At 43.5% G+C, this 23,377-nt stretch overlaps 1 protein-coding gene and 1 long non-coding RNA gene across 3 annotated transcripts in view, besides 1 other annotated feature; one reads left to right on the plus strand and one right to left on the minus strand.

Moving 5' to 3' along the window:
• Window positions 1-23,377, plus strand: part of LOC101927182 (uncharacterized) — a 204,657-nt gene that overhangs the window by 120,435 nt on the left and 60,845 nt on the right. The gene's annotated exons all lie outside the window — the stretch shown is intronic.
• Window positions 454-654: a silencer, noted in NCBI's record as "peak4218 fragment used in MPRA reporter construct". NCBI's record gives its function as "represses an SCP1 promoter by STARR-seq MPRAs in K562 erythroleukemia cells {active_cell/tissue: K562}" and the evidence as "EXISTENCE:reporter gene assay evidence [ECO:0000049][PMID:32103011]".
• The window catches only part of PTPRT (protein tyrosine phosphatase receptor type T), a 1,158,017-nt gene continuing 1,142,247 nt past the window's right edge, over window positions 7,608-23,377 (minus strand). The window contains exons 31-32 of the mRNA XM_047439848.1: window positions 19,240-19,357; window positions 7,608-8,054 (exon numbers count right to left, since the gene is read on the minus strand). Coding sequence (XP_047295804.1) covers window positions 19,262-19,357 — 96 coding nt within the window. The 3' untranslated portion in view covers window positions 7,608-8,054; window positions 19,240-19,261. The remainder of the gene's footprint in view (window positions 8,055-19,239; window positions 19,358-23,377) is intronic.

Consider the following 23,377-nt stretch of genomic DNA (forward strand, 5'->3'; position numbering starts at 1 on the left):
GGGAGTAGGTACAGGAAAGGGAGAAGAATTGAGGACAATGATTTAATAAAGCAGGCATTATTACCTCCGCTATGTAGACGGGGGATCTGAGTTCAGAGAGGTGGAAAATTTGCCAGATCACGTGGCTAGTTGTGTGGAGGAAAGATTCAAACCCAGAATTATTGGGCACCAAACGCCATGCTTTCTCTCCTGATGCTGATTCTGAACGAAAATTCTATGAATTCCAACTTCAAGAGGTCATTGAGATCTTCCTTGACACAAATCTATATGCTTTTGTGTCCTAGAATTAATCTCTCAGATGAGTGAGAAATTGAACAAAATTTAAGGTTCATGTGCCTATATAATTTTCCATCCTTTCCACTTCACTCACACATTGGCCTTTCCTGGATTCATTGCATGCGAAAGCGAGGTCAGCTAGCAACTCTGTTGTCCTTTCCCTCACTCTGCAGAACTTATACTTACAGATCTCATCAAGTAGGGCTCTCCCAAGATCGCATCCTACCCAGGACAAGTATGCCTTCCCCAGGCTCATTCTAGGCTCTGCTGTGGGTCTGGAGCTGTCCAGTGTCCTGAAACAACCCACCACGAGATGGGTTTAGTGAATCCAGCTGTAAGCAATTAAAGAACCCACGTGTGGCAGGCCTCATTTGGTTTAGGCAGCTTCTCTTCTGGCTTCCTTCCTCAAGTGCACTTGGGAACATGTATTACATGGGGAACTGTTAGTAACTGTAAGCAAACTCTCAGGGCTTAAAAGAGTGTTGCTACTTGCCACGTTAACAGCAAGGGATTGGTGTGGCAATTCGCAGAAACTCACAAGGGAATTCAGTAAGATTTTCGAAGGTGCTTTGCAGTTTATAAGGTCCTTACACACACACAAAATCTGCTGTGTGAGACTGAATTGGGATTCCTGTGCTTATTGTATGGATAATGAAACTGAGTTGCAGAAGACACTTCCTCTTCCACAGTCATAGAATGGTGCAAAAGGAAGTTACAGGACTAGGGAGTTCTGAATTATTTATCTTTCTCCTTCCATTTGTCCTGTCAACAAATAGGATTTTTTTTGAGACAGTCTCCCTCTGTCGCCCAAGCTGGAGTGCAGTGGTGTGATCGCGACTCACTGTAATCTCCACCTCCCGAGTAGCTGGGACTACAGGCATGCACCACCGTGGCCAGCTAATTTTTGTATTTTTGTAGAGATGGGGTTTCGTTATGTTGCCCAGGCTGGTCTCAAATTCCTGGCCTCAAGTGATCCTCCTGCCTAGGCCTCCAAAAGTGCTGGGATTACAGGTGTGAGCCACCCCACCTGGCCTCAAGAAATAGGATTTGATTAATTGATCTATTTAAAGTTCTTTGGGGACACAAAAAATATGGTCATACCCCCAAGGAGATTGTAATCACATTTGTGAGCGTTTGGTGAGGGCAAGGTGAGTACACAAATAAGGATATTGGAAGATGAAAAGTATTAGCTCTGAGCTTCATCCATCCAATGATCTAATAAATATATATTATATGCCTATTACATTCCAGGCACTATGCTTAGCACTAGTAATACAAAAGTAAATAAAGCAGATATTGCCCCTTCCCATTCTAGAAAGGAAGATAGTTACTAAAGAAGTAACCAAACAATGGAGCCAACAATTACTAATTTTTATGAATGCTCTTAAATCAGTAAATGAATAAAATATTTAGATAGGATAATGAGGATGAAGGGAGAGTCCTACTTAGGTAAGGTGGTTAGAAAAGACTTCTCTGAAGATGTAACATTTAAGGTAAGATCTGAAGGCTGAAAAGTCACCTGGGTAAAGGGATGGGATAAGATTGTTTCAGGCAGAGAAAAAGTCCTGAGGCCAAATAAGATTGGGATGATGGAGGAACTGCAAATGTGCTCACGTGACTAAAGAACAGTGAGGGAGCAGGGAGTGATTGGAGGTGAGATCACAAGGGGAGACAGGAGCCAGACCATGCTGGGCCTTCTACGCCACCATAAAGTGTTTGTCTTCTCCTTTTCTATTATGAGTTTCTTGGTAGAGAGCCTGGGATAAAGTAGGTAGTCATAACAGGATGTCTTAGATTGGACACTCTAGAAGTAGACATTGGAACAAGAAAGTGGGTGCTAGTAGTTTATTTGGGTAGTGATTCCGGGAAGCACCAGTGCATATGTGGGGAAAAGGAGGAATAAAGCAAGCCAATACAGGTAGCTCATTCAGCATGTTGCTGCTGTGGGAAATGGGGCTCAGTCCTTCAGGGAATCTCTCGGAGAGTGTGTGCCACACCTGAGTTATTCTCACTGAGAGGCAAGAGAGCAGGGGTGTTTATACACCAGCTGCCCTTAGGCTCTGGTGGGGGGCATGAACTCTGATACCTCCAGCCTGTCCAGAGGGCCAAGCAGGCAGAGTTGCAGGTGTTTTCAGTGGGAAGTCAAGTCTGTGGGCATGAGAATGGGGAGTGCTGAAGGATCATCATTGGGGGCACTTACAATGTGTGTGTGCACGCGTGTGTGCATGTGCGCACACGGGCTGAGAGGAGCAAGGACAAAGGAAGGTGGAGATGCCAAAGACAGTTGGCATAAAGGAGAGTAGAACCCTGCCATCTGGGGACACCCTTCTCAGAGATGGCACTGGGGACAGCTGACCCTGGGGCTTGCTGGAGGCCAGAGGAGCCATATCCCTCAGGGTTATGTTCCTACCTTCATGGGTGTGAGCTTTGCTACTCAGCTCTTCTCCTGGGGGCATTTGACAGAGTTTCCTCCCCTGGCAGGCTAGGCAGCCCTCCTCTCTGCTTCTTTTAAACAATCTCTCTTCTCTGGCTCAGACCCTAAGATACTGTGGGGCCAAAGACATCCTATTCTGGGGATGTCCCACGTTTGACGCTTAACACTTTTATCCCCCATCCCCCAGACATATCCTTTGTTTCTAAGCCACAACTAGGTCTGGGGTGGGGACTAGGAAGCATTCACATTCTAAGGGCATCTGTGGGATGTAGGACTAGATGTGTGGTTTGGAGATGCCTTTCTGAAACACATTTAAAATAAGAACTTGTGTTCTCCACAGAGCCCTGGGTAATTAATGAGGAAAGTCATATACCACATCCCTTGGTGATATAGGTAATAACACCCAACATTACTGAACTTGTTTTTGTAGCTTGTGAAAGGCTAGCTAATAAATTATCTCATTTGTTCCCCACAACAACCCAGGAAGGCAAATAATACTGTTAGTTCCAACTACCAGATGAAGGAGCTGAGGTTCAGAAGTGTTCATTACTTTGCCCCAAACAACACAGGCAGTGAATGACAGAGATATTCTGTGAGCATTTTTCTTCTGGTGATGGAGTGAGCGCTTTACCTTAGGAACACTTCAACAATTTTACAGTGAACATGACATCCCTTCACTTCAGAACTATTTATAACAGGGGTCTTGGAGATGGCCTACCTATATAACAGTAGGGCATCAAATGTCATGGAGCCAATAAATCCGAGGGCCTTGAGGTCTATGAATACAGGTGGATAAGTGTAAGGAAAGCAGCTTATATAACTGTTCTGAAGGTTGGGGTCAGAAAACTTTCTCAGGGAAGGGCTGGACTTTGCAGGTCATACCATCTCTGTCACAACTACTCAACTCTGCTGTTGTAGTGTGAAAACAGCCATGGATTTGTTGGTGAATGGGCATGGCTGTGTTCCAATAAAACTTTATTTACAAAATCAGGCAGAGGGCCAGATTTGGCCTCATGGCAGTAATTTGTCTAACCCTGCTGTAGTGAAGACTACATTACAGAGATTATTTTACTATTTCTGTCACTAGATGGTGTCCTTCCATTAGTAAGGTGAAATCAAATGCTGGGCTGCTTTATCATGGGTAGGGAAGTGGGGAAGGGATTGAATTATGGTGGCAGGAATTAGTGTGGGAGGTTGGGATCAGAGAAAAGAGTTTAAGTGTAATTCAAATGACAGAAAGTAAACACAACAGACACATGCACACACACACACACACACACACACACCCATTCACGCATCCAGAGTAGCTACTGTGTTCCAGGTACAGTGCAAGGTGGTGGTGCACTTGGTAAATGTTTAACAACAGACTCTCTGAAAAAAAGAAAAGGAACTCCCCTCCCCCCTAAATTGTAGCATTTGTTGATTTCTGTAGTGGAAAACTCACATCATGCCTGATTTCAAGCTACTAACTTGCTATCAATCTGTTTGTAACGTACCTACCATTGAAAAATGGAGTCTTGTAAGCTGACGTAGCCAGCTTCAACACACTCCTGGCTCAAGGTCTTTTATTTTTATTGTACCTGGATATTTGTGGGACAGCAAAGTTTTAAATGCCTGGGTTTCCCTTAACTGTGCTTCGTGGTGAGATCATCTAGGATCTCATTCATCCAGAAGTCACTTACTCAGCAACCTCAGTTATCTAGACTATAGCTTGGAGCCAAGAAACAAATACTCCCCATCTCCTAGGCAGCACGTGCAAAAATAGATGTCATTAAATTCATGAACTCTCAGTCAGCTTACTCATAGAAAAGGACCTCAGTTCTTCATTCAGAGTGTTCTTAGTCCCATATTAAGTACAATTTAAATGAGAAAATGGTTACCAGGTTTTTCCACCTAGAAATTAGAAGCAATGAATTAGAAGGGATAGTAGATCCAAATTTCATAGGAGCAAATTCATTGTAAGCAGCAAGAAGGATCCACTGATTGCTAGATAGTGGAGGGAGAAGGTGACAAGGCTATTTCAAAGTGGGATATTTGGAGCTATTTGGTGTAAGCGCAAATAGTTCTCCACCTTATTGGATTTGAGGGTATTGCTGTAACTGACCACAGTCATTCTCATGCTCATAGCAAACTCATCTGAGTCATCTGAAAAAATTGGAATGATGCTTAAGAAGGCAGAGCATTGGTCAATTCATTTCAGAAAAATCTCTCTTTTACATGCTTGATTTTTTTATAGTTATCTTTGAAAGAAGCCCATCCTGTCGCATGGACATTGTATAGCATGAAGAAACTCTTCTCCTGGTAGGGTCAGATGACAGGGGCATTGCTGCAACACCTTTGGTTTGTTTTGATTAGCAGTTAAGGGTGATAACGTTCAGTTTAAAGTGAGCCTTTTTTTCTCATCTGCTGTAAAACATTCTATCCTCATTCTTTGGTTGTGGGATTTGATGCACACTTTCATTTCCACCTTCTCTTCTGCCTTTATGAATTTGTAGACTTTGATTAGGGTGCCTCTCAAGCTACATCTTCACAGATGGAGGCAGTTTGATTTTTAAAATCTGTTTTTTTCACACAGGTCAGTCCATCAGTCATCTACTTCCTGCCACCCCATCCCAGCTATCATTTCTCAACACTTTGAACAGTTGTCTTATCCTCTCTGAAGACTTCTCTTAGGCTCCTTTCCTTGCCCAAATAAGTTGATGATTCATTCTTCTCTGCAACATATGTCCCTTCTCATATTTTTATCATTGTTTATGATCTTTTTTCCTTAAGTGAAACAAAATTCTTCAAAGAAAAACACAGTATCTCATGAAGGTCTTTACCTCTGGAATTTAGGAGACCACCTGTTACTTCCATATACCTGTGTCACTGCCCTCAAGAGGACCTGAGGCAGGTTGACTGGCAGGCTCCAGGTGCTGTGCATTTGGGTTGTCCATGGTGCTCAGGCTAAGGCCAAGTCTCCCCTACATTGCTTCTAGTTCAAGACCAAACATTTCAGGAGAACTAGAGCCACACCACTTGTGCCCAGTGTGGAGCTCTTCCAACAGAAACTTTGTCTGGGTTCTCTCTATTGGCCTGGCTGATACGATCTCAGAACTGCATTGTGATCTGAGATCTTTCTTCCCTCTTTCCATCCCTCTCTCACAGGTGTCACACTGCATCTGTCTGAGAGTTCTCCCCACCTGCCCTTGCTCCCTTTGTCATCCTTAGGAATTTACCCCAATAACATCCTACATATCCAATCCCATCCTGGTGTCTGCTTCTCAGAGAACCCAAACTCACACAGTATCTGATGCATAATAGGTATCCAGAAATGTCAATTGAATTGAATTTATGGTGCTTTTATTGGTTATCAGATCTTGTCTTCAGCAGATTATTTTTTCAGTGTGGAGGTTCTGTAATTAACAGGTGTCTAAGTCTGTTTAGTGTTGCTATAAAAAAATGTCTGAGGCTGGGTAATTTATAAAGAAAAAAGTTTATTTGGCTCCTAATTCTGATGTTTGGAAAAGTTTAACGTTGGGTATCTGCATCTGATGAGGGCCTCAGGGTGCTTCCACTCGTGGCAGAAGGAGAGCCGACCTGTGCGGACATCCCATGGTGACAGAGGAAGAAAGATAAAGAAGTGAGGTGCCAGGCTCTTTTTAATCACCACCTCTCTTGAGAAATAATAGAGTGAGAAATCAGTCTGTCTCCTCACCCCCAGGGATAGCGTTAATCTAGTCATGAGGGATCCACCTCCATGACCCAGACACCTTCCATTAGGCTTCATCTCCAACATTGGGGAACAAATTTCAACATGAGGTTTGAAGGACACAAACATCCAGACTGTAACCACATGGTTCATCAAACAACAATAGCCAATGCCTCCTTAAATAAGACTGGACTATCTACGGGTAACTTGGGATCATCACCATGGACATTTGTTGACTATATAGGAATACACACTGATGCCCCCAGGACCTGCTGAAATGTTTAAGCCTGTTTACCCCTGTATGGTTGGCTCCAGATAGATCTCATTGAGTTATTGTGTCTGTTTTTAATTGGTTTTATTTTTTTGTCTCTGTCTTTGCTGTCAATGTTTTTAAATGCTAGATCTGAGAGAGACTTCAAAGATCATTCATGAGTAGATCTTCAGAGCACATAATCACTAGGCACTAGTTAGATGCTGGGAATTCAGGGTTAGATAAGAAATGGTCCTTTCCTTCAAGGTGGGAGCAAGTTCTGGCTCCTTATTTTACAGATGTCAAACCAATTTGGCAAGATTTCTCAGCAGACCCATTAAGATATGGGAAATACAAGAAGCTAATATATAATGACAGCAAAGTATTTCTTCAAGATGGGCAGGTGTGGATCCAATCTGAACCTTTATTGCACCTTCTGGGCCCCATGTCTCAGCCAGCTGATGATGGCATAGAATCACCTGCATACCTAGCCCTCTGAGGCATCTCAAGATTTCTGTGACTAATCAACATACTGAAAAAGATGTTGCTGTGAGCCAACTCCATCAACAGGGACCTCATGCTGCTCATTTAATTGTTGATTTACCCTTATGAGAGAATAAGAACTGTAGTGACTTGAAAAAGATGCCAGACATTAGCTTGGAGGAATATCCACTTTCCTGCGTAGTGTAGAGTAATCAGGATCTGAAGACCCAGTTTACTCCTAGCTCTGTTACTAATTCTCCATGTGACCTTGGACAGGGCATTTCACCTCTTTATATTTTAATTATCTGCAAAATTGGATAATAAATACTACATTACAAATAAGAGAGGATCTGTATATGAAGGCATTTTATAAACAATTCACTATATAAGGGTAAGGACATTAATTATTAATTTTATTCTGCCACATTCTTTGGTGAGATCATTCGTTCATTTATTCATTCAAAAAGCATCTTCATAACCCTATGTATCAGGCAGTTCTAAGTACTTTGTAAATCTTCGCAACACTGTGAGATGTGTACACTATTATCACAATTTTATAGATGAAGAAAGTCCAAATAAGTTAAATAACTTGCCCAATGTCACACATCTAGTAAATGGCAGACCTGGAATTCTAACCCATGCAATCTGGCTCCATAATTCATGCCATTGGCGACTACACCAAAGGACAGAATGCCTTTTTTTAAACTGGAATTTGACTCAGTGAAATAGGCCTGGAAAAAGAGAGAGAGAGAGAAGGAAAAAGAAGAGACATGGGCTCAAAAGAGAAAGGGATGGGGAGTGATAGGATATCCATAGGAAGGACCACAAGGTAGAAGGAGAGCACTCTGGCCAGGAAAGTGATGGTCATCCCAAAACATACATGGTCTTTCTTCAAGAAGATGGTTCCTCCATTCAATGTCCTGGAAGAGAAGAGACAGAGAGAGCTCTTGGGCGAACAAACTTATTTCAAGGAGAGACACTGATAATCAAAAGAGATCATTGTTTTCCATGATGTTTAGCAAGTCACAGATCCCCATGTTGATCCAGGCTCCTGGAGAGCTGCTCAACAAGCAGAAAAGGGGAAAGGCCACTCATTTCTTATTAATCATGAGATTCCTTATTGATCATGAGAACTAACTGAATAGTGGGCAAACTTTAACATTGCTTCCAGTGATCCCAGCCTCCTAGTAGGTACACCTTTGTGTAATCCCCTCCTTTTAAGTGTGGGCTGGCCTTGCAGACTCTCTCTAATGAATGTCATTAGTGATGGATGCCACTTCTAAGATTAGGTTATAAAAGGCAATGCCTTCTCTCTATCTCTCTTGCTCTTGCTCTCTCTCCTTCTCTCTCTCTCTCTCTCCCTCTCATCTCACTGGTGTTGAGTAAAGCAAGCTGCCATGTTGTGAGCAATCCTACACCCCCAGAGAATGGTGAGGAACTGAGTATTTCAGTGCTGCAGTCCATAAGGAAATGAACCTGTGAACAACCATATGAATGAGCTTGGATGTAGAGCCTTTAGCTCCAGTTGAGACTTGAGAAGAGGGTAGATCTCACTGACTCCATGACTATAATCTCAAGAAAGACCTTTAGCCAGAAGCATCCAACTAGGTTGCTCGCAGATCCCTGACCCACTAGACTAGAACATGTGATGTATGTGTGGTTAGGGCAGAGGTGAGACCGGATAAGTGAACAACTATCAGATGGGCTAGGATGTTTTGACTAGAAAGTCAAGATTTTCCATATGGAATCACTCTGCAGACATTTTGGTGGGTTATCTGAGTGAGGAAATATAGGAAGGCGAAGAGTCTGAAACATCCTTGGAATTTCGAATCCTTTAAGTCTATAAATTCGGCAACATTCACTGCAATTGATTTCCAGGCTAGAGTTCTCTCTGCCTCAGGGGTTTTAATTTTATTCTTCTAATAATTCTTTATTGTCATTAATATTATAATAAAACATGATGCATATAGCTTATTGCATGATTAAGGGGCTTACTGAAGACTTACTGGACACTGTGCTCCACCCACAGTCTCAGGATCTGGAGGGTTCTTTGTGGAGCTGCCATACTTCATGTCATGGATGTGGAAAATGGAGTCTGAGGTGGATCCTCCCTCTCATTCTCACAGCCTGTAAAAGGCTCCTACCCCACTTGTAGCCTACAGAGGGTTATGATGCATGGTTAAGAGGGAAGGTTCTAAAGTCAGAGAGGCCTGGGCTGATAGTCTGGTGCTCAAAAGTATCTGTGTGAGCTTGGATAAATTACTTAACCTCTCTGAGTTCATTTTTTTCAGCTATAAAACAGGGATGGGAAGGGTGCCAACATCACAAGGCATGGTATGAATTAAATGAGATGATTTGCATGGGGGGATCTGGCACAGGTGTACTTGCCAGAAATATTGGTTACTATTTTTTGTGATGCCACAGAATGCCATTTTCTACTCAAATTCATTTTTTCTTACCTTTCTCTGTTGCTGACTATAGAATGGTTTTATGTATGAATTATGAATAAGTCCTAATTATGGTCCCAGAGCCCTGTCAGTACTAATCCATAACAGATACGTATGTCTACATGTTATTAATTAATATATCAGGTATACTAGTTTTCTGTTGCGCATACTGACTTACCCCGAAATTTAGCAGCTTAAAATAACACACCTTTAATGCCTTGCAGTTTCTGTGGGTCTGGAATCTGAGCACAACTTAGCTGGGTCTTTGCTTCAGGGCCTCTGCAAGGTTGAAATCAAGGTGTTGAATGAGACTGCAGTCTCACCTGAAGGATCAACTGGAGAAATGATCCACTTCCAAGCTCACGTGGTGGCTGGCAGCATTCATTTCTTTGAAGGCTGTTGGACTGAGGGCCTCAGTTCCCTGCTGGATGTTGAGGAGATGCCATCCTCAGTTCCTGACCATTGTGGACATCTCCAGCTTGCTTCATCAGAGCAAACACACAGGAGTCAGAGTGAAAGGGAGAGAGGGAGAGAGGAGGAAAGAGGGAGAAGGGGAGAGGGAGACTATTAGGGTTCACTAAGGATAAAAGTTCACAGCCCAATGGACACTCACTCCTGTGTCATGGTCCATGCTTTCCTTTGCTGTCCTAATACCTAAAGATTGAGTCTCAGGCCAGAGGCTGTGGACCTCACTGTTACAAGGATCCTCATGTAGGGTTCCTTCCAGGGTAATGCACAGAGATCTTCCAGGGAGTGAGACCATCTTAGCACCTTCCTGGGGGTTAAGCACAATGACCTGCTGCTCTCACCCCCAGTTATGTGTGTGGTGTGTGTGTTAACAGAAAGGATTAACTTAGGTAGTTTAAATGGTTTTATCCTGGATTACTGGATGATTTTTTGTTATGCTGACACATTCTGTGAGAAGTATAAATTATTTGAAAAGGTGACATCTGGTTTGCTTCTACTCATTGTGTTAAAAAAAGTGGAGTGAATGTAATGAGGTTCAATGTGGGTCTTAAACCCTTCTGAGGCTTAACAGTGAACATTCTCTCCATGCAGAATCCTAGCCCAGTCAGAGCTCTAGGACCCTGGGTTGGGGAGTCTCAGTCTGGCTCAGGGTTAGGGGTTCACTGAGGGGTAGTGACCCTGTGTTTTAAAACCAGGTTTGGAGATTAGGCATAATTCCCACTATCCAGATATTACATTAAGCACCCAGTTCAAAAACATCTCTCAGGAAGCCCATGTCCGTCTGGGACATGGGAGATCTGCTAAGTCCACATTCAAATTTTCATTCATCATTTCCCCCTAGTTCCCACTGACCTCTCAGGTATGTTTTTCACCTGATCATCAGGTCTCAGTCCCTGGATGTTTACATAATTTATTTTTCCTAATTTGCATGACAGCCAAGAGAGATTATATATTGCAGAACTGAGGTCTATAAAGACGAAGTGACTTAGGTAGCAAGAAGCTGAGACAGGGCTGGAATTCACACTCCAAATTCTAGGCTGTTTACAAAATATAATGTAGCTCCATACCAGCTCCCAAGAGCCAGAACTCCTGGTCAGTCTTACCATGGGAAAGGTAGCATCAATATCTAACATTTCTGGCAATGACTCTGATATAGAAGCTCACAGAGACCCTCAGCCTAGAGACCTTGGAGCATCCCAACAGCCCAGCTATTGGCTATCCACCACTCAGGCTTTCAGTTTATCAGTCCTGTCTCTGACACAGCCCCCATCCCACAATCCCCAAGCAGATGCTTGCTGCAGCACTGAGCACATAATTATGATTGCCACTTTCCTCTGGTCAGTAAGTTCTTCCAGGATAGAAGTTGGGTACTATTGCTAGCACCTGGCAGAGTGCCTGGTACAAAATAGGCACTCAGTAAAAATTGATAGTGCTCGGGTAGACTGTGGTCATTTCTGGCAGGAGCTCCCAGAATGGGTTGTTTTTATGCATCCCTTAAACTAGAATGATGCCCTCAGTGCCACAGCTCATCATAGCACTGAATGCACTAGATTGCAATGGGGAGTTCATTCATTTATCTGTGTTTTTGTTCCATCTAAAGTAGACCTTGAGACAAGGGTTTGGGTGTAAGTAGTTTCTTTGGGAGAAGATAACAGGACAAACTATGACTAGGTAGGGGAAGTGTGACAAGTAAGGGAGGAGCAATAGCTGTGGGCAATTGGAGCTCAGTCCGACTGTAGCCTTCTGAGTGGTGGTGTTGAACATTCTTTAGATTACTCCACTGGGGTGAGGAATCTAGAAAATTTATCCACCAACTCCCATCCCTCAGTAATTGAGGCTTGTTCCTGGGCTGCTAACTCCCCAGCATTGTCCTGTGGCCATTGGTGCATACAGAAACTGTCCCCAGAAGACTTCTGAGTTAGGACAAGTGGACACAACATCAGGGCACCGGTCACATCTGCTCATTTCATTTAGGCAGCAAGGTCTTTAGTAAAATGTATAGCTAGAGTTTATTGAGAAATTGCTGTGTGCCAGCCACACGTATACTCTTACATAGTTTTCACAACCATGAGGTTACTATTTTCAGCCCCATTTTATGGATGGGGAAACTGAGGCTCAGTGAAGCTACCTAACTTGTCCAGGCTGGTAAGTAGCAGAGCTCAATATTCTCCCTGGGTGTGTCTGATTCCACAGTTGGTGCCCATTCTACTTTATTGCACCTCCAGCAGTGCTTAGCAAATAAGATAATGATTGGGTTTAAAAGTCAGGAACTGCAGGAATCCCGAAGAGCACTTAAAAGTCCAGCATTAGAGGATGAAGGCCTGAGATAAACACAGGCTGAGTAAAAATTTAAAGGGAAGAAAGTGAGAGAGTAGAAAGTCCAAGTGGCTGGTTCAGCCAGAGAGGCCACAGTCAGAGCCAGGCATAAGTATTGCAGGTGAGGAGACCCAGGGAGTACTCAGCTTGTGACAAGGAGAGCAGAGGACAAACCTATACCTCCAGGCACATCCAGAAGCACCTTGCATATCAGCAGAAAGAAGTTGTTGTTTCTTAAGTCCATCAAATGGAAGAGGCAATAAAGAATCAGTGGGACTCCAAGATTGAATAACTCATTTTGGTGTAGTTAAGAATCACCAAACATGTGATCACTCATTTGTGATAGCATGCCAGAGCTGAAGCAACCCTCCCTCAGAGGACCAGGTCCTCATCATGGCCAGAAGAAACGTCTTCTCCATGGCCATGCAGCAGAAGCAAACAGGCATCCCACTTCTCACACATGGATCAATTGTTACTACTTACAAATGGACTCTTGGAATCTCCAAGTAAACTGTGCAAAGTGGGTCAAGTAAATTCCTCCCCGTACCCTAGCCTCATCACTTTTGTCTGTAGACAGAAACAATGATGCTGTGTGGCAGTGAGGGTTAAAGGAGGTCATAGGTGTGAACCTGCTGCTGACAGCCCATCCTGTGGTTGGTGCAGAGCTCACATGGAAGTTCCCTCTAGGCCCTTCCCCACCTGGTCTGCAGGGAACAGTGAGCTCAGAGCCAACACTGTAGGGAGGGGTACAGGGGACCCTATAACACTTTCACCTCCACCAAAAGGAGAGGCCTCTCATTTAAGATCCCCTTTCCTGCTCTGTGCAAACTATGGTCTGACCACACTTAGACATGGACATGAAGCATCACCCCTGGTTTGTGAGCAACACCCAGTGGCACCCGAGGGGCTAGACAAGGGCAGGAGGGGAAAACTGACATTTCAGTAATGACAGTCGTTTCTACTGGGAAAGTCCAGCTGAGAGAGGAAATGCATGCACTGTGGACCTCAGAGGAGTTTCTCAGGATTCAGTTCTTCCATCCTCACCTGTGAAATGTGCCGGTGGTTGAGATGGCTAAACGTTCTGATTTTGCCATTTTGTGATGTGAAGATAGATAACTGAAGGACACTGAAGACACATTTGGCAAACTCTTCCCTGCTATCTGGAGCTGCTTGTTGGAGGAAGGTTGAGATGAGCGTTTATGGTTTGCTTCAGCTCCTCTGCTGTGCACCAGGCCTGATGCTAGGTGGGGTGTAGGAGGCACAGCTGCTGCTTTCCAGGAGGGGACAGTGGCTGCCAGCAATAGCAGGTAACATTTATGGAGCACTCACTTTATGCCAGACTATGCATTAGCTAGCTGTATCATCACCACACCCTACAGGGTAGATTCTATTCTTACTCTCCTTTAAGAGTTAGTAGCTTCTCTCACATCACACAACTAAGCCCACCTTTTTACACCTTACAGAATAATATTCCACTTGACATTCAAGGAGTGCCTTTTGTGTGCCAGGCACTGTGACAGGTGAGTTATAAATGTGCTCTGCTTTAATCCGCCCAGCAACTTGGAAGGTAGACATTATTTTATAAATAAGGAGATCGGCTCAGAGAGGTAAAGTGGCTCCCTCAAGGTGACACAGCTCATGTGTGGAGAACCTAGAGTGTAATATAAGTCACTCTTACAAGTATACGAGAAGGAAACAAGCCCAAGTTATACCCCAGACTGTTAAGACTTCCAAGAGAAGTGTTAGGCATGATGTAGAAATGCACGAGTGAGTCCAACTTGGGGGATGTGGGAGGCAATTGTGGAGAAGTTGGTGTCTGAGCAGGGCCTGGAAGGATGAGCAGAGTGGACTAGGGAAGGAAGGGCATCTGTGTGGGGACACAAAGTGCTTATGGTTTGCTTCATGGTGATGGTGGGCTTATGGTTAGACTATCTGGATGCAGTCCCTGGTTCTATAACTTTGTAGTTGTGTGACATTAGACATGCTACTCTTTTCCCACCCTTAAAAGGAGAGTAAGAATAGAGTCTACCCTGTAGGGTGTGGTGATGATATAGTGAGCTAACACATGCATGGAGACAAGCCAGCAGTTAGTAGGCTCAGAAGGTAGCAAGAGAGTGGGAGCCAGGTGAGTAGGCTAAGGTAAAATGTGGAGAATCTCGGGTTCCAGGAGGGGAACCAGACCTTGTGCTGCATCAGCAGAGACTGCTGGATGGTGGACTACTGGGTGGAGAGGAGAGAGGGAGTCACCAGTGGGCATTATTAGGAAGGCACTTCCCACAGATATCTGAATGTACAAAAGTTCTTCCAGCCCAAACTTCTCCCCGATACTTCCTATTCTTGCTTCTTCACCCCAGATACCAAATTTTGCCATGTTGGTGGGTTGCAGGAGCGGGGTTGTGGAGTTTCTAATTGCAGAGATTTGGTTTGTCTGGGATTGATCTGTCTAGTGGTTTCCTTTGCTTCTCAGAGCACAGTTTCAGGGAGACTACTTGTGGATCCAGTTACATGCAAAGTGCTTTCTTCTTTTGTCCCCATTTAAAAAATTAATTTATTTTAAAAATGTTTATTTTAATTGACAAGTAAAAATTGTATATATTTATGGTAGATCACATAGTGTTTTGATATATGCATATGTGGTAAAATGGCTAAATAAAGCTGATTAACATATGCATTAGTTCACATACCTATTTTTGGCAAAAAACCCATTCTGTTAGCAATTTTCAAATATACAATATGTTATTAGCTGTAGTCTCCATGATGCACAATAGATTTCTTGCACTTACTCCTCCTATGTAACTAAAATGTTGTGACCTTTGACTGACATCTCCTCAGTCCTCCCACTCCCTGCCCCCAGCCTCTGGTAACCACCATTTTATTCCCTATTTCTATGAGCTCAACTATTTTACATCCTAAATATAAGTGAGATCATGCAGTATTCATCTTTCTGTGCCTGGCTTACTTAACATAATGTCCTTCAGGTTCATCTATGTTATTTCAAATGATGAGATTTCCTTCTTTTTTAAGGCTCAACAATATTCTGTTGTGTATATATATAGTAATGTATATTCCATATATTCCAACAGTATTGTTGGAATGTATTTATGTATATATATATACCCATATATATTCCAAGGTATTTTCCGTATATTCCAACAATATTCCATTGTGTATATATACACAATGTTTATTCATTGATGGACACAGTTTGATTTCATATCTTGGCTATTGTAAATAGTGCTGCAATAAACATGGAAGTGCAGATATCTCTTTGACATACTGATTTCATTTCCTTTGGATATATATCCAGTAGTGGGATTGCTGGATCATACGGTAGTTCTACTTCTAATTTTTTGAGGAACCACCATACTGTTTTCCACGATTATTGTGCTAATTTATATTCCCACCAACAGTGTGCAAAAGTTCCCTTTTTTTTCCCCACAGTCTCACCAACATTTTTTATCTCTTGTCTTGTTGCTAATATCCATTCTAACAGGTGTGATATCTCCTTGTGGTTGTAAGTGGCATTTTCCTGATAATTAGTGCACAGTGCTTCATTCTTAAAGGGGATGATGCCACAGAGTTGCCTTCCAACCTAGCCATGGAGACAGGAGAAACAGGCTGTCTGAGCAGGTTCAGCCTCCATTCCTTACTGGAGGGGCCACACCGGGAGGAGAAGGAGGTTAGATTGCTAGAGTCTTTTTCAGTCAGGGTGGGCTAGCTTGGGGTCTGTTTAACTGGACTTGTTTAAAGTTGAACAAAGTCTAAGAGACTTGGCTTTCTCTGGGGTTCCTGGTATATATTGATCATGATAGAGAGATACCTTGTGAGATGACTGTGGAGGATTAACCTTCTCTAAAGGTGCTCCTAGGAAGGCCCATCTACTTTCCCTCACCATCCAGATAGGAATTCCATCAGGAATAGCTTTGTGGTTCACCATGAGATGTCACCAAGATATTTTAAGAAATGAGTGCAAAACAGTGTAAATTGAGAGCTCAGTTTCTTAGCAGTAACATGTATTTAGTGTGTTTGGAAGGAAAACAGCCTAAATTATGGAAAAGTGTGATGATCAAGATCTGACATAAATACATCAACAAAGACTAAATGTAGACACAGACATCAGAAATGCCTTTCTCACATGCTGCAGGGGTGTCTCCTTTGCCTGGCAGAGCTTTAGAAACACATCATGTGCCTTCAGGGGGTGTTATCTTGGCTGTGGTGCAGGCAAAGCCTAAGCTGCTCTGATCTTTGGGCCTGGAGTCACCTGGAGGAAGGATTTTCAGTATCATATTCCAGATTCTGTACAAAGGTTTTCTGTCTGACACTAGAGGGTTTTTGGCTGATGTGATGCTGCAGATTTGGTCAGCCTTTTGGTGTTGGTTCTTGTGTTTCTGCGTGTGCTCACATAGGACTCCTAGCTTCTAGTACTGAACCTTAGTTCTGTTCGCATCTTTTTGTGACCTCTGTTGATCTGGGAGCAGCTTTCCTTCTTTAACCAAGGCTCTGCTGTCCATAGATTGCTGGTGCTGAATAAGTCCAATCCACTACTGCCCTCGATGCTCCCGTTTTGGGGTTCTCTCTCCGGCCCTGTGACTTTCTGAGTATAAACTATGCTTGGTCTTGTTCATAACAATCTCTAAAGATTGATTGATTTTTGTGAGCTGCCAAAGAGAAGTGCCTGGAATAGCAATTGTTACTGTGAAACAGGGCTGAGAGGCTGGAATGGTGAGCATTTCTGCCACCTGGGGGAGGTCGCAGGGAATATATTTAAGTTGCAATTTTCTCCACCTCCTAGAAACTCCTCAGTTCTTGGGTTGGTTTTTCCTTTCTTTTCTTTTAATATCTCTTGTCTAGACATCCAGGAGCCTAGTGATACATTACATTGTTCAGCCCCTTAACATTTATTTCATAAAGCACTTTTACGTATATTAAAAGGAAACAGTTCAGAACATAGACTTTGAAGGCATGCTGCCTAAATCCCCATGATGGCTTTCCATTGCAGGCTGTGCAACCTTGAGCAACTCCCTCTTTCTGCGCTCAATGTTCTCGTATAATGGGGGCAATAATATACCTACTTTATAAATTGTGGGGATAGATAAATTAATATTTGTAAAGTGATTAGAACAAGACTTGCATGTAGTAGTCCTACATAAATGTTCTTTACTATTATAATTATCATTATTATTGCTACTACATTTATTGTCATGGCCAACTGTTTAGGGTAGTGGCATAATCGAAATTACCTTTGATTCTAGCTCCTTCCTTCCTATGCCCTAGCTTCAATCCCTATTAAATAAATTCACCCTGCCCTAAGTATTTGGGGAGCTTCCTGATGCTGTCTCTCCTGCATTTAGTGTCAAGCCTCATAGGCCTACTCATCTGCTGGTGATCACTGTCACTTGTACTCCTGCCAAGCACTGGTACTGCCCCATGGCTTCATCCAGCTATTACTGACTTTTCCTCTGTTCACCCAGGTCCAGCAGTTCTTCAGAGATCATTTGAAAGGCCCAGAGCCTCTAAGTTGTGGAGTGACCCAGAGTGGAGCAGGGAGAATGGCTCACTGCCCTTTGGTTTACATTTTTCACAAAGGACTCAGCCCTCCTGCAAAGAAAATTCACTCTGCCAAGCATTAGTGAGCAATAGAGATTTTCCTGGAGATTAGGCCCAAACGATGGTTTTATTGCATACCATGCAGCAAAACACCTAATAAATTAAACACTTCTTTAGCCTGCCAGGATGCTTTTGCCAGTCACCTGTCCCTCAGACATTTCTAAGCCATGGTGCTCTTTCCTCTCCTCTTTTAAAAATAATTCAGAATAATTTCTATCTTTGACCTCTGTTGGTCTGGGAGCAGCTTTCCCTCTTTAACCAAGGCTCTGCTGTCCACAGATTGCTGGTGCATATTCTTTTGCATAATGTTTGGACTCCTGCTTACTTCAGCCCTCAAAGTGCTCATCTGAGCCGCTCTTTGGCACACATAGTACCTCCCTCATATCAGTTGCTGAGAAGTCAAATGTTTCTTCATATGTTACACAAAAATAAGGCTACTGCCCTTTTGGGTCACTGTTTCACTCACTCACTCACCAGCCTTATAGCCAGTTAGTGTTTTCAGATCTACTCAATTTTGAATTATTTTCCAACTTGCGAAAGCTCATGTTTCAGAATTTGCTCTAGTCAGGACCACAGTCTTCCTGACTTGCAGGAATGTGTGTAGTGTGGTATTGGATCCCTCCATGGGGATGGGCACCCCAACACAGCTGTAGCTGGCAGCCTGGCCTTCCCTTGTAAGACCAGCCCATCCAGGTATGTGCTTTCAGGAAGTAAATCAAACATCACCGCTTTTTAGAGAGACTGATGTGTGCCCTCAGAGAGCACACAGGAGTCAGAATATGCATGGCACTGGCAGTGGCCAAGTTCTTGGGTGGAAATGGCCTGTTTGGCCAAATCCAGGCACTAGATAATTGTTTTCCAGAGTGTGGTCCACAGAACACTTGCATCACCTGGGGAATGTACAAAACATATATATTTCAAAGCTTTCCCAAGACTTTTCCAATCAGCCTGTGGAGGTAGGGGTGAAGAATCTGTATTTTTAAACAAAGCCCTTAGCTAGTTCTTCCACATCCTAAAATTTGGGAACCACTGCCCTAGACTGTAAGTTCCATTAAGGCAGGGACTTGAATTCTATCCCTCAAGTAAACAATGTTGGGTCCCTTCTTTCTCCTGATGGATATATAGGAAGAGTCTATTTCCCAATTCCCTTGCAATTATGTGAGACACGCAATCATTTCCAGCTAATGGGCTGTATGCAAAAATAAAGCATATTACTTCTGGGCCAAAGTATAGAGATGAGGGGTGAGTTCTCCGGTTCTCACTTTACCTTTCTGTGATGACTCATGAGGTCACATATTCCAGATGGTACAGCTACAAGGTAGTGGAGCCTCTGTCATCCTGGCTTCTTGAGTGACTGTGTGGAGCAGAGTCCCCTTGCAGAGCCGCTGTGGACATGGAACATGAGTGAGAAATAAACATCTGCTCTGTTAAGCCACTAAAATTTCAGGATTAATTTGCTATCACAGCATAACCCAGCTTTATCTTTACCAATATACAAGACACTTTTATCATCTTACAGTGATGTTGGACAATCGATTTGTTTATTATTAAAAAGTTTAATGAGATTTGCTTTAAGCTTCAGCAACAGTTGCTGGAGAAACAATATCTGACTGCAGTGGGCAGGGCTGGGACTAGAGTGAGACAAGTGAGAGACGTAAAAGGCCCAAACTATTCATCTCAGCATTGCTCTCGAGAGCTCCTGCTTTGTAAAGGAACAAGTAAAAATGATTTGTAATCTCACTCCTCCTTCAGGCAACAAAGACTCACTGAGACCAGCATGCCAGAGCTCAGCACTGGGACAGAGGAGTAAATAGGCATTGTCCTGGTCCTCAAGGAAGTCACAGTCAAATGAGAAACCAGACAGATAAGGACAACATGGGGTGGTTGTTTCCCAGAAGGAGGGGTAAGCCAAGGGCTTAGCAGCCCAGATGAAGCAGAGGCCTCCTCCAGTTGGACTCTGTGGGCAGCTCAGCTCCCTTGACAATGACTGTTGAGAAAATGCCAGCCACGCAGTGCCTTGTGCTGGTGTTTGGAGAAGAGTTGTGTGCTGGTAATTGATGGTGTGTACTTGTTCAGATGTCCCAAATAGCTGATGATTTGATTATGAGGACTTTACAACCACTCAGGCCCAGGCTCATTCTGGTTTTCCAAAGAAGATGATTCCAGACACACACCAATCGAGAGGACTCATGCTAGGCATTGGGCATAGAGCCTGGCACAAGGCCTGGTCACAGGAATTGCCCAGTAAAGGGCAGTTCTTCTCTGTCCTCCATGTCTGTTGGCCAGAGTTAAGTCATGGGAGTGGTCACAAAGAGGGAGGAGGCAGGAAACCTTATTAATAAAGAAGTTGATGGCATTTATAAGTAAAATAATGTTAAGTGAATATCTGTGATTTGCTGGGCATGAGTCTAAGTACTTTATCTGTAAGAACTCACTTAATCCTCAGAAGAAACCCAATGAGAGAGGTATTCGCTTTCGTCTCCCACTGCTGCTGTGATAAGCCATCACAAACTTGGTGACTTAAAGCAACACAGACTGATTACATTACAATTCTGGAGGTCAGAGATCTGACATGAAACTAACTGGGCTAGAATTTTAAGGTGTTGGAAGTGCTGTCTTCCTTTGTGGAAACTCTAGGGAAGAATCCATTTCCTGGCCTTTTTCCCACTTCTAAAGGCCGCCTGCATTTCTTGGCTTATTGCCCCTTCTGCCTTCAAAGCTAGCAGTGTCACCTGAGTCGTCCTTACACTACCATCTCTGGTTCTCTTCTGTCTCTCTCATCTCTGTTTGAAGATGCTTTTGACTATGTTAGGTCTACCTGGATTATCCAGGATAATCTATTTACCTCAAGGTCAGCTGATTAGCAACCTTAATTCCATCTGCAACTTTAATTTTCTTTTGCCATGTAACCTAACATATTCACAGGTTCCAGGGATTAGGACATAGACACCTTTGGGAGGGGATTATTCTACCTACCAGAGAGAGTACTGTTAATAAAGGAGGTACTATTAAAGGAGGACCAAGACCATCACAGTGATTGCAAGAGTCAGCACTGAATTTACTAATTTAACAACCAAGGGAAGATAACTTGGGGAAGAAATACACTGAGTGGCTCCCTGAAGGGAAAATGTCAGTGAGTTTTACGTGCAGGCAAGAAAGTTTCGTTGTGATTATGCTAATTAAGAATCGAAGTTTGCATCCTAGATTAGACAAAATAAATCAATTGATCCATACATTAAAATGTCTTTTTATATTCACCAAGCGAGAGGCTTCAGGTTGGTCTAGGGAAGATCTGGTGTCCTGAGGTCACTCCAAGTCCGTAGATGTTTATCTGCTTCAGTTGGTTAGTATTGCCAGTGTGGTAAAACTCAGCATTCAGTGCCTGTACAAGTGGAAAGTCCTTTTTTTTTTCTTTTAAACAGTACTATTATTGTTCCCAGTTTACAGATGAGGAAACTGAGACTTACAGACACCACATAACTTGAAGATAGTAAAGCCAGGATTCATACCTGAACAACTGAGGCCAAGTCTCCCTTTCTCCTTTTTTTCCCAAAGCAAATGTAGTTTCTTTATTTCTCTATAAATCATCAGCTGACCCTCACAATTTAGTTGAATCCAGAAACATAATTCAAGGTAGTCATTGAAATCATCCCTCTAGTTACATGCTCAGTCTATTTTAGCAATACACTAAGTCTCTCAGATTTTTTTCTTACAATATTTACCCCTCAACTACTCTCCCAAGGCTATGTCTAAAGGGGCAGGGGTTGGTGGGGGAGGTTTCCCTTGACCTCATGGAGGTGAGGAAGTGGGCAAGTGCCCTGGAGTCATGTCCTCCGCCTCTGCGTTGGTCTGGTCTGTATAGTTGCTGGACTGGCCTTTTCCTGGGGCTGGGAGCACCCAAGGTCCATTAGGGTCTTAGTGCCCATGATCACAGCTCTTGAAAGCCTCTGTACCCCGAGCCTGCAAGTCTCCTTTCTTAATCGCTTTATTCAAGGACTCAAGACTCCAGGTGTTGCCGACACTCTTCTCCTGAACCCACCCAATCTAAGAGGCTGCAAGTGGAGAATTCAACAATGGCACTTCCTGGGGGTTGAGAGGCTCAGATGGAAAAATCAATGCTTATCTCTGCCAGGAGTTTTGGGAAAATGCATTTCTTGAGTGAATGGGGACATTTGCAGATGAAATTCACCAACCATCAGGCAGCCAGTGCCTCTTGCAGCAGAAAACATGATCAGCTTCTGACATTAACCCCAGGGCAGGAAGGAGCAGCTCATTAAGCTCTGGCAGGGATGCTGACAGCCACAGACGTGAGACCATGTTTATAAACGACTTACAGTGGGGACCAGTGACACCTCATTATAGGCGCCCATCAAGGGCCTGTTCTTCCCTCTTTATCTCCCTCTATCAATCTTCCAGTGCAGAGTCTGTAATTAGGACCTGTATTGACTCTTGATCAATTTGTTTAGTTAGGCCGAGGAAGAACACTGCTGGTTACGTGTACACATTGAAAAGGTTGTCATGTGAGTGTGTGTGTGTGTGTGTCTGTGTCTGTGTGTTGTAGGGGGCACGGAGGGAGGGACACAGGATTCCTGGCTCTGCCTGTAGCCACAGAAGTACGCCTGAGGGATTCAGTTTCTCTCTGATGTGGTTCCTCATGTCTTTGGGGGCTGCCATGACAGCTGGCACCCAGCCCTCCCTGAGATGATTTGGGATGCCTGATACTTTCACTGTGTTACATAGAATTGCTCCCTGTGAGTTGGGTTCTGCACTGTGCCATGTGGATTAATTCTTGCATAGGCCCTGACAAACTTCTCCAATGAGGAAATGAAAACTTAGTGTGGACAAGTAACTTGTTGGGGGTTAAGGTAACCCCACAACTTTGTGAGGTTGCCTTAAACACGTAATGTCAATCAGACCAGAAGTGGGACAAGATCTTTGGTACAGCCTATTGGGTGATACTGATGCATCTACAAACACACTGTCATTAATTGGGGGTGAGGTAGGAGATAGCTAGGCTCAGCCCCAATCCTAGCAAATAGGAAACCTTGTTTAGCAAATAGGCTAAATTGGTTGAGGACCTATACTACCCCTGGGGGATTGCTGCCTGGGCTGTCAGACAGCTTGGCAAGTGACAAGACCCTCTTCCTTTGAAGACAGGCCACCAGACCCTCTTCATTCAGCTTGTTACACATTCTGGTCCCATAGCCAGTTCCACTTGCACTGAGCTCATGGTCACATGAGAATCATATCGTGATGAATTGGCCTTCCATGCAGATTCTCTGTGGATAGATAATGGTTGATTTTGCATTTCTCATACCTGAATTTAAATACTGGCATTCAGGTATATTCATTAGCTTCTTGTAAGCTTGGTAAATGTGAGTCTAGTCCAGTAGGATGGCTGTACC

The sequence above is a fragment of the Homo sapiens genome, chromosome 20, assembly GCF_000001405.40.
Source record: "Homo sapiens chromosome 20, GRCh38.p14 Primary Assembly".
NCBI lineage: Eukaryota > Metazoa > Chordata > Mammalia > Primates > Hominidae > Homo > Homo sapiens.